This window comes from Homo sapiens, chromosome 17 (assembly GCF_000001405.40).
Source record: "Homo sapiens chromosome 17, GRCh38.p14 Primary Assembly".
Classification (NCBI taxonomy): Eukaryota; Metazoa; Chordata; class Mammalia; order Primates; family Hominidae; genus Homo; species Homo sapiens.
In genome coordinates, this window is record NC_000017.11 from 35,477,288 (window position 1) to 35,489,080 (window position 11,793).

Sequence of the window (11,793 nt, forward strand, 5' to 3'; positions counted from 1 at the left end):
AATGTTAAATGTTAAGTGCAAAACTTTAAAATTTTTAAAAGAAAATAAACAGAAATATCTTTATAACCCCGGGGTAGGGAAGGATCTCTTACACAAGGCACAAAGAGCACTAAACCACAAAATTTTTAAATGGCAAGTTTGACTATATCCAATTTAAAACTGCTAGGGAGAATATGCCTTGGGAAAAGAGAAAATGCAAGTCATGAACTTGGAGAAGACGTCTGAAATCTGTACTATCTGTGACTAAACGAGGATTTTATGTTAGAATCTGTGAATTGCTCCTAGAAATCAGTAAGAAAAAGATAAAGCCTATTACAAAAATGAGCAAAAGACAGAATCGCCACTTCATAGAAGATAAAATATCTTCTATGGGAGATATTTTCTTCCATGTATATACCCAAATAAATACCGATTTGACTGAGGAAGAAAAGAAGTTCAAGAGAAAAGAAGTTCAAGTAGAAAGATGAAGAGAGAAGTCTGGCATTGGAAAAGATGTGGCATTTCCAATATATTGCTGGTGGAAGTAAAGTGAGCTATCTACTTTGGAAATAATTTGACATTATCTTATTACTTAAATATTCACACACTGCCTGAACGAACAATTCTACCCCTACTTAGGCACCTAAAGAAATAGAATTTGACAAATTCAATGACTAAAAACACCAAAGAATTTCCATAAACAAAAGAATGTGCTTCCATAACAAATATCAAGACAGAGCTGGTTTGAAGAGAAGGAGGTTTGAACACAGTTACACCAACAACTCCACGGAAGCCAGAATTAAATTACCTGGAAGGTGATATCTCAGTGGCTGAATTTTGAAGTTAATATATTCACGAAGAGGATAACTCTGGGAGACAGGTGATGATGTACTTGCTGGAGAGGGCAGTTCCTCACATACTATGGAATAATGTTAGAAAACAAAAATCACGCTCTTAATTTGGCATGGGAGAGACTCAAGCTAACTAATGCACAGTATACCAAACGTCTACTTAGAACTGATCCTGCATTCCCAATACAGAACATTAGATATTGTGGTTACATATTGTGGTTAGATTCCTAGGTCAGATACAAATTGTAAAATTAACTCTTGATGCTGCTGAAACACTCTATACTTGGAAGGAAAATTAACAGTAAAAATGCATTGATAGCAATTTAATACATTGCCATATAACTGAGTTTATTTTAAAACAAGTTAAAATTAGAAGAATGTGATGGCTAGTGAAGGAAAACTGGGTTTTATGCAGATTCTGAGGAACAAGTTTGCATTTTCAGAGATTTTGTAAGTTGCTAGTTCTGGTCTAATCTCACTGGAGGCTTTCCTTTTCCAAAACCAGATAAAATATCAGCATTATTCTTCTCTTATTGGTACAATTTAGGTTACTCTTTGGCTCATAAATGTGAGAGGAAGAGGGGAAGTCTTTACAGGAAATAAATGGAAAGTGGGTAAAGAAAGATGAAAGAGCAAGCAAGTAAAAGAGTAAGTGTTCCCAAAAGAAAGCAATGGTTAGTTACAGAAAATGAGCCCTGAAAGAAAAACGAAAAGAATTGAACAGGCTTTCCTTGAAAGTGAGTAAAGAAATGGTAGAGAAGAAACATCTAGAATCTTTGCATCAGATAAGGCTACTAAGAGTAGATATTTAGTTATTGTATGGAATATCTATCTTCTAAGTGTGCAGAAGAAAACAAGAGGCAGGGAAGTATTGGTTGTATCCACCAGAGATGTTGAAATTTGAAGACTTTTAATCTTGTCCCTAATCCCAAAGATACAATAAAACCTTCCTGCCACCCAAGCCAAAGGTATCCTTATTGCCAATCCTCCTTCCTCAACCTGGTTCTGAATCCACCATGAACTGGATCCATTCCTTCTCGGTCAACTGCTTAACTCTGTTATCTTTCACGTGCCAGGAATCAGGCTTTTTAGCAAACACTGCACAGCAGAAGCGTTCCACTCTGAGTGCATACACATATCCACAAAGCCTTCCTTTATCATATACTCCAAGGAATTTGCATAAGTAATTTATCGTCCCCTTCTCCACACAGAAGTGATGCACAGGCAGTTTCCCAATGGAATTTTTTGTTACTTCTTCTAACTTAGTAAGATAACTCTTCTCTGCTTTAAAGCCAATTACTTCTTTATCTTCATTTAGACCAACGAATAAATATCCTCCATCAGTATTTGCAAATGCAGAAACATATTGAGGGAGAATCTCTGTAATTCGTTGTAACAACTTTTCAGTCGAGAAGTTTTTTATTTCAACGTGTGTGGATTCAGTAAAGGTCAATTTTTCTTTATAACCAAGTTCTGTTCTGTTAAAAAAATCAGCAGCCAAGGCTTCCATGTTACTTTCTTCTTGTACATCAACACAGGCCCTTTTTGCAGGGAATTCTGGTCTTAAATATGCTCTCCCTCCAGTTTTTTCCATGTCTTTGAGGAACTCCAGTGCAGCAGAAGCATTCATGACTTTTGCAGACGTTACATCTCTCTTGTACAAACTGGAGCTCAACGTGGCAATCTGCGGACCAGAGGTTTCCAAGCTCCATGATTTCACAAAAATGTGAAAGTAGTTACCATTCTGCATGAAGTCCAGGAAATTAGGAACAAATGGCAGCATGTTACTAAAAGAATTTTCCAAATCTAGCCCTATTCCATCTTTTTTATAACTATAGCCTTTATTCTCAACTTCAGCCTTGATCACTCCCCCTCCAGAATTCAGCAGAGCACACACAGCTCGTGAGACATTTTCATTCTGCTGTTTTCTCAGTTGACAATCCTTCATTTTTTTTCTATTGTTCTCTCCAAGAGTGACTCTTCCCACATTTAGAACCAGCTCAGCATAGTTTGTGTCTAAATCAATACTGATGTTCATTTTCCCAGCAGCTAAGCCATTTCCACGCAGAAATTCTTTTCTGTAAAATAGAGCCGTTAGAATAGGAGTTAAGCCTGAGAGACAGCAAATTCTGCATTATGAGGCAAACGTAGAAAAATCCTTTACTGTATATTTTCCACTAGACTGGTAAGTATATGGGTCTGAGATAACTAATTTCTAACAAATTTTGAGCTAAGGCTGTGATAATTTATACTCCTACTGAATTTTCAAATTTGTTACAACTGTTTTATACGATCTTATTCTAATAATTTTAATCTTGTCTTTATGTGTTCGTTGTGTCCTTTCTCATCACTAATATTGTACAATTTGTTTTCTCTCTTCTTTCTTTAAGTAAATCCCTGGAGGGATTCTATGTTTTTATTTTCTCAGTGGACAAGGTTTTAGTCATGCATATTATTTCTTCTTTACTTTTTATTTTAATAATTTTAGCTTTTACATTCATTAATTATCTCCTTTTATGGGAAATCCTTTTGGAAAACTGCCAGATAGGGTCTAAGAGGGTCCAGCAATAATAATCTTAATTATTTTTTATTCTTATAAGAATGAATTAGATTCACAAATTTTGGGCATTGATCGCAAGCAAAACAGACCAACTCCTTGTGCCCTTTCCCTATCAAACATCCACGTTTACAAGGAGGTAATCGTGGGTGGCAAGCCACCCAGGTGCCAAGGCAAGAGACTGAGGGCACAAGCTCTTCCAGTATAATAAAGAAAATATATAGAATAAGAATAGTTATACTAAAAATAGATTATAGATATGATTATATATGATTATCATTAATCATTAGTTTGTGGTATTATTATTCCAATATTATAATAATCTTTGTTCTACAATTATAACCTAGAAAAAAACCAGGCCATACAGAGATAGGAGCTGAAGGGACATGATGAAAAGTGACCAGAAAACAAGTGTGAGCCCTTTGTTACGCCCGGACAGGGCTTCTAGAGGGCTGCCTGGCCTAGCGGTAACACCAGCGCCAGGGAAGGCACCCGTCACCTAGCAGACCTTGGTCTAACAGTAGCATCAGTGCCTGGGGAAGGCACCTGTTACTTAGCAGACCGGGAAGGGGAGTCTCCCTTTCCCCGGGGGAGTTAGAGAAGACTCTGCTCCACCACCTCTTGTGGAAGGCCTGACATCAGTCAGGCCTGCCCGCAGCCATCTGGAGGCCTAACCGTCTCCCTGTGATGCTGTGCTTCAGTGGTCATGCTCCTGGTCCACTTTCATGTTCCACCCTGTACACCTGGGTCTGCCTTCTAGATAGCAGTAGCAGAAATAGTGAAAGTACTAAAAGTCTTTGAAATGCGTAGAAGAAATAATGGCATAAGCCGTGCTCTCTGTCTCCATCTTGGCTGCCAAACAGGGAAGGGCCCCCTGTCCAGTGGACACATGACCCAAGTGACCTTACCTATCACTGGAGATGGCTCACACTCCTTACCCTGCCCCGTTGTCTTGTATCCAATCAATAACAGCGCAGCCTGGCATTCGGGGCCACTACCAGGCTCCGCACCTTGGTGGTAGTGGCCCCCCAGCCCAGCTGTTTTTCTTATATCTCTTTGTCCTGTGTCTTTATTTCTACAATCTCTCGTCTCCGCACACGAGGAGAAAAACCCACAGACCCTGTAGGGCTGGACCCCACAGATAATATTGGTTTTTTTGTTTGTTTGTTTTGTTGTTTGTTTTTTGTTTTTGTTTTTGTTTTTGAGATGGAGTTTCGCTCTTGTTGCCCAGGCTGGAGTGCAATGGCACAATCTCAGGTCACTGCAACCTCCACCTCCTGAGTTCAAGGGATTCTCCTGCCTCAGCCTCCCAAGTAGCTGGCATTAAGGCACCTGCCACCATGCCTGCCTAATTTTTTTGTATTTTTAGTAGAGACAGCGTTTCACCATGTTGGCCAGGCTGGTCTCGATGATGATCCTGACCTCAGATGATCCACCTGCCTTGGCCTCCCAAAGTTTTGGGATTACAGGCATGAGCCACAATGCCCAGTCAAGGTAATATTCTTATATACAAAACACCTGTGCTCTACCTTGAATGTTTGCATCCTCTCAAAATTCATATGTTGAAATTCTAACACCCAACATGATGGGCGTTTGGGAGGTGATTAGGTTAAAGGGTAGATCCCTCATGAATGAGATTAGTGCTCTTCTAAAAGGGACTTCAGAAAGCTAGGGATGGCAGCCTGCCATCACAAAGGCTGCAGCAGGGAGGGGCAGCTAGGGCTGCACACTTTCTGGAGCCCGTGGGAGCCCTGCCTCTTCCAAGTTGGGACGTGAGCTCCCCAGGTGCTGCTGCAGCCACCCAAACCACCACTGTAGACCCAGGCCTCCCGCTCTCTGCAGCATGCTAGAATCCTGCCCCACAACCCTGCCCCATGCAGCTGCAGCCACCCAAATCGAGATTGCAGATTCAGGCATCTCTGCACTCTTGGGGCCTGAGAAGATCCCCCTGCCCTCGCAGGCTCAGAAGTGCCTGCTCCCACTGCCTGGCTTCTCCTTCTCCCTGCTGTCGGTGCCCACTCTGATCTGGGAGCAAAGGCTGGCCAAACTCCGGAGACATAAATGGCAGTGGGAGGCAGACAGATTCCTGGGTCAAAGGCGGCGGGTCCCCAGTAGGGCCACACCTTCAGGCCTGGGAGGGCCTGAAGGCTGGGGACCGGGCTGCCAGTGCTGTAGACTGTGGGGACTTGTGGTGCCTCTTCTGGGGCTGCATGTGGACCAATGGCACACACTTCCTCCCCTCTGAGGTCCATAAAAGCCCTGGGCTCAGCCAGAGCAGGGGCAGAGGAGGAAGAGATGAAGAGAGGACCAACTTCAGAGAGGAACTACCCTCTCTGCTGATAGCAGGAGAGGACAGGACAACCAGCCGCAGAGTGGAACTACCCTCTCTGCTGAGCGCTTCAGAGACCTGAAGAGACATTGGCTGCAGAGAGAAGCAACGGTCCCCAGGGCCTCCTCTCTGCTGAGAGCAGCAAACGTAGGAAGGACCAGTAGCAGATAGAAGCTACCCTCCCCAGGGCCTCCCCTCTGCTGAGAGCTGAACATTCCATGGGATGACCTGCCTACAGAGAGGAGTTACTCACTGCAGGTCTCCTCTGAGCTGTCCTAACATTTAATAAAGCTCATCTTCGTCTTGTTCACCCTTCACTTGTCTGCATACCTCATTCTTCCTGGACACAGGACAAGAACTCTGGCAAAGGTGCCGCCAGCCACAGAGGTTTCTGGCCAGAAAATCAACACCCTGAAGATCCTGTAACACAAGCTCACCCCTTCTGCCATATGAAAAACACAGAAGAAGTTGACAGTCTGCAATGGGAAGAAGGTCCTCACCAGAATCCAATGATGCTGGTATCTTGATCTTGGACTTCCCAGGCTCCAGAACTGAGTAATAAATTTCTGTTATTTATAAGTCACCCAATTTATGGTATTTTGTTGTGGCAGGCCAAACAGACTAAGACAGTGTGCTTTAGTCTATGTATACATAATCCATTAGCTCTTTTCCTTTAAAATCTATTGGGATCACTGTTTTGCTATAGACGAAAACCTAAAGACTGTAGGTTTGTCAAGTGGCCTAGAGACAGTTGAGAGTAAAGTCCATCATAGGTAGTAATCACTACACTAGGAAAGGGCTATAAAGGGGTCAGAATATTCCTGTCCACTGCTAGACCACTATCACGCAGATACTCAGCTAAGGTTGTAGATACCACCTTTGTCTCTATAAATTTCTGATCATGTGTAAACAATAATAAAATTGAGGCCCCAGATCATTTGGACAATTGGGGTTACATCAAGAGAATTCATATGCAAATCATGGTGGTGACATACAGAGGAAAAAGAACCGTCTATTCCATATAACACTTAACAATTTACAGGGACCAGAGTAGATGTTCAATAAATGACACAACTCCTTGTGCACCAGAGTAGTCACCACTCCCCATGTGATTTGGGGACTCTGTGCTTTTGCATAGGTGTGCTCTGAGACTCTAATGTTTTCCTCCACCTTTGTCACCTGATAAACTCTCTATCATCCATCCCAGAACTCCCATATTTGTCCTTCACTCTCTGCTACTCCCACATAACTTTGTACCTATACTTGGCACTAATTTCACCATAGATCTAGGGAAATATTTAGAAACAAAGCAGTGAAGTGGCCAGAGCAGTTGTTTTCAAACTGCAGGAAATCAAGCGAGGACTCCCAATCATTTAAGACACCAGAAGGAAAAGCTTTGGTTCAGTTCCTACCTTAGACACTGAACCTCAGGGGGTTCAAAGCACGTTCCATGTTCTGGAATGCCCTCCTTGAAATTATCTAAACCATTTCCAGTGCCAGGTACCAATCAGCACCAGCAGTGTCATCCTGGCAGGGTGCCCCAGACTGGACAGAACTACTAGCATCCCTGTTCCTTCCATCTGGGAAACTCAATGGCCCTTCACCCAAGAAACCCTGGGACTTGTGGCTGTGGGGTTGTCCTAGGACCTCATGGCTAGGTCCTATTCCAGGAGAATAGCCTGGCAAGTGCATTGCTCTCACTATCTGGAGCAGGATTTCTTTCACAGGATCAAGTCAGATTGGATTGCCAGGATGGTGCTGATAATGCTGATTTGGGTTTATTCAAATTGTTTATATTGACAGAGGCTCACAAAAAAAAAATTTACTCGGGTAGAATTTATTACTGAAGTCATCTGGTCCATGGCCTTTCTTAGTTGGGTTTTAGATTACTGATTCCATCTCCTTACTAGACATAGGTCTATTCAGATTTTCTGTTTTTTCCTGACTCAGTGTTGGTAGGTGATGTGTTTCTAGGAATTTGTCCATTTCATCTAGGTTATTTGATTTGTTGGCATACAATTTTTTACAGTACACTCTTATAATCCTTTTGATTTCTATAAAATCAATAGTAATGTCTCTTCTTTCTTTTTTGATTTTAGTTGAGTTTTTTCTTTCATCAATCTAGCTAAAGGTTTGTCAATCTTGATCTTTTCAAAAAACCAACTCTTTATTTTTCATTAATTTTTTCCTACATATTTTGACTTTTTAGTATAGTCATTTTGACTAGATGAGATGGTATTTCATTGTGATTTCGCTTTGCAGCTCTCTGATGATTAGTGATGTTGACCTTTTAAATGTTTGTGAGCAGCTTGCATGTTTTCTTTTGAGAAGTTTCTGTTCATGCCCTTTGCACATTTTTTAAATGGAGTTGTTTGTTTTTTTCTTGATTCATTTAAGTTCTTTATAAAGTCTGGATATTAGTCTTTTGTTGGATGCATGACTTGCAAACATTTTCTCCCATTCTCTAGGTTGTCTGTTTACTCTGTTGAGACTTTTGCTGTGCAGACGCTGTTTAGTTAAGTCCCATTTGTCTATCTTTGATTTTGTGGCATTTGCTTTTGAGATCTTTATAATAATTTATTTGCCCAGGGCAATGTCTAGAAGAGTATATCCTAGATTTTCTTCTAGAACTTTTATAGTTCGTGGTCTTACATTTCAGTCTTAATTTTGAGTTAATTTTTGTATATGGTGAGAGACAGGGATCCAGTTTCATTCTTCTGCATATGGTTAGCTATTTATTGAATAGGGTGTCCTTTCTCCATTGGTTATTTTGGTGGACTTTATCAAAGATGAGTTGGTTGTAGGTGTGAAGCTTTATTTCAGGGGTCTTTATTCTGTTCCATTGGTCTACGTGTCTATTTTTGTATCAGTACTATGTTTTGGTTACTGTAGCCTTGAAGTATAGCTTGAAATGCAGTAATGTGGTGTAAGGCTCCCTATCCTGTTTTGTTCTTTTTGTTTAGGATTGCCTTGGCTATTCAGGCTCTTTTTTGGTTGCATACAAATTTTAAATCATTTTTTCTAATTCTGTGAAAAATGACATTGGTAATTTCATAGGAATAGCATTGAATCTGTAGATTGTTTTGGGGAGTGTGAACATTTTAATGATACTGATTCTTCCAACACATGAGCATGGAGTGCTTTTGCATTTGTTTGTGTCGTCTATGATTTCTTTCAGCAGTGTTTCATAGTTCTCCTCGTAAAGTTCTTTCACCTCCTTGATTAGCCCCTGCTCTCCAATTCTTCTTGCAGCCTCTGTAACTGGAGTCCTGTCCCCTTTCCTCCCAGCCCAACTTCCTGCACTGTCTGTATCAGGCCTTGCCCTGGATGAACCCTTTTGGCTCACCCACCATACACAGAAGGTGACAGAAATCACATCTCACCCTCAGATTGCTTAAGGAGGGTACGCATACCACTGGGAAACTTGGAACCCATGGGAGCTGCAGTTGAGCCACCTTATAGAGGACCGAGCACTTGTGGACTAGCCTGGGATCCTGGCCACCCGAGTCCAACACCTGCAGCCATGTAAAACTTTCCATGGTTCAAAACCTCAGGCTTCAGGCATACATCTGGAACACAATGCTAAAATTAAATAAATAAATAAATAAAAACGAGCTGAGGACTGAGCCGACCAAATCTCTAGGGCCTAAAACTCACTGGCCTCCCTTAAACCTTGGGTCTAGGTTTACAGGTTAGATGTTTCCACTGAAATCCTTTATACTTTTGACTATAGGGGAAATTCTATCAGACCTGAACTCATGATTTAGGCTATGTTGTTGGCTATCTTTAATGGGAATGGGGGTGGCATTCATATCTCCTTAGAGTTATGCCAGAACAACAGGTTAGTAAGAACTGCAACCCACAAGGGTGGGACAGGAGGCAGAAGAGCTACCTCCTGGGGAGCAAAAAGCATAGAGCGTGATTTGCCGTCTTCGGATACCACTTTGCATTTAGTTCGGAACAGCACTGCTTTCACCCTTTCCCTCTTCTAGATGATAAACCAGCAGCGCAAGAGGGTGCTTGGTTTTTCTTTCAGGATCTAGGGCGCAGTTCGTCAGTGCCTGGTCACATTTCACCTAAATAACCCATTCCCCAACTCCCTGAATGCTCAGGACTCCAGGAGGGTGGGCAACCCCCATCCGATGGACACCTGCCAAGTCTGGCCTGTCCATACAGCACTCCCCACTTCTCCAGCTCTGCACCAACACCTCACGGGCTTGAGCCACCGCGCCCGGCCGCCCTGCGGCTTTTTAAGGCGCTCCCCAGCCCACGCACGGGCGGAAGTTTTGTCATCTACAGCTTTCAAGTCCTCCATTGCTAAGTCTACAACAGCCTGCGGTTTTGACAGACATTGCTACAGAGACAGGAGCCAACTTTCCCAGAAGGGAGAGAAAGCAGCCTCGGGTCTCCCCGAGATCGGTGGGGTTGCTCTGGCAGCGCCCCACCTCGTCCCGGAGCCCACGGACCACCCCCCCCGGACCCCCGGAATAAGAAACGGAGGCTGGAAGGTTTGGCAGTGGAGCGGGACGAATTTATCTGCCAGCAATTCCCTGGAAACAGGATTCCTTGCAGGCGCTGTGCCAGCGCGGGCCCTTAAGCAACTGAAAGTTAAACGCCCACGTGAATAGCTCTGAGGGATCACGGAGAAGTTCTCGTTTCGTCTGTACCTATTTGTATTTTCTAAGGCGAAAAAAAAGTTATTTAAAGAAAAAGAGAACGAACCTGGCGAGGTCCATGTCTGCGCACTCTTCACCAAGTAGGGGGACCTGAGTTCTTTTCCACTTTCCTGCTCTCCGCGTCCGTGTGCGGCTAGCCCCTCGCTCAGCTGCATTTCTATCGGGCACTCGACTCCCCGGAAGTGGTGGCACCGCACGCGCTGTTATCGACTCTGCGCCTTTGGAAACGGTGTGTCTGCGAATCCAACGACGGGCGCGGTGACTCACGCCTGTAATCCCAGCACTTTGGGAGGCTGAGGAGGGTGGATCACCAGCTTAGGAGATAGAGACCATCCTGGCTAACATGGTGAAAACCCGTCTCTACTAAAAATACAAAAAAATTAGCCGGGCATGGTAGCGGGCGCCTGTAGTCCCAGCTACTCGGGAGGCTGAGGCAGGAGAATGGCGTGAACCCCGGAGGCGCAGCTTGCAGTGAGCCGAGATCGTGCCACTACGCTCCAGCCTGGGCGACAGAGCAAGACTCCGTCTCAAAAAAAAATTGACGAAGGACCAAACCCCTAAAGGGGTGACATTCCAGCTTGACTCGTATCCCAGAGCAGCCCTGCTGTCCCCTTGCTTGAAAGCGCAGTTGACGCCAGAAACCGGGGGAGAGCAGCTACTAATGCACAGGGGAGGAGGGAGGTGCGAGGAGCGGGTTGCTCTCAGAGAGACAGAGTTGAACAACTACCCCTTGCGGTGTAGGAAGTATCTTGCGGCCTTCTAGGCCAATTAGTTGGCTTCGAACAGTCCAGTGGCTCCTCTAACTGGATACAGCCCTCCTGTCACGTTGCTTTCGTGGGGCCCTTGTTATGGTAATTACGATAATACACGTTTCTCCAGCCCACACGTCTAAGAACTGTTGCGAGAACCCATACTTTTTGAAATGCACACAGGCCAAAATGACTCACTAACTGAGGAGTTCACCAGTCTGAATTGCCCTTTCTCCCTAGCTCCATCCCACTCCGGACTCAATTAAGGGCCTGCCGTTGGAAGTCCCATCTAGAATCTTAAGGTACAGGCAGAGTACTTCTTCACACTGAATGAGCACATGCATTGAAAGTATATAGCTGGCCGGGCGCGGTGGCTCAGGACTGTAATCCCAGCACTTTGGGAGGCAGAGGCGGGCGGATCACCTGAGGTCAGGAGTTTGAGACCAGCCTGGCCAACATGAAGAAATCCCGTCTCTACTAAAAATACAAAAATTAGCCGGGCGTGGTGGCACGCGCCTGTAATCCCAGCTACTCGGGAGGCTGAGGCAATAGAGTCTCTTGAACCGGGGAGGCGGAAGTTGCAGTGAGCCCAGATCCCGCCACTGCACTCCAGCCTAGGCGACAGAGCGAGACTTTGCCTCAAAAACAAAAC

General features: G+C 44.0%; 1 protein-coding gene across 2 annotated transcripts in view, besides 1 other annotated feature; it reads right to left on the reverse strand.

Annotated features, from left to right (window-relative positions):
* Positions 1-11,793, reverse strand: part of SLFN12L (schlafen family member 12 like) — a 73,425-nt gene that overhangs the window by 13,034 nt on the left and 48,598 nt on the right. Inside the window, exons 3-5 of one of the 2 annotated variants that reach the window (NM_001195790.3) lie at positions 10,439-10,685; positions 1,830-2,908; positions 788-898 (exon numbers count right to left, since the gene is read on the reverse strand). In NM_001195790.3, coding sequence (NP_001182719.2) covers positions 788-898; positions 1,830-2,868 — 1,150 coding nt within the window. In that variant the 5' untranslated portion in view covers positions 2,869-2,908; positions 10,439-10,685. The remainder of the gene's footprint in view (positions 1-787; positions 899-1,829; positions 2,909-10,438; positions 10,686-11,793) is intronic. The other variant, NM_001363830.2, reaches the window with a different exon arrangement.
* Positions 9,889-10,168: an enhancer, noted in NCBI's record as "active region_12072". NCBI's record gives its function as "activates an Ori minimal core promoter by ATAC-STARR-seq in GM12878 lymphoblastoid cells {active_cell/tissue: GM12878}" and the evidence as "EXISTENCE:reporter gene assay evidence [ECO:0000049][PMID:35858748]".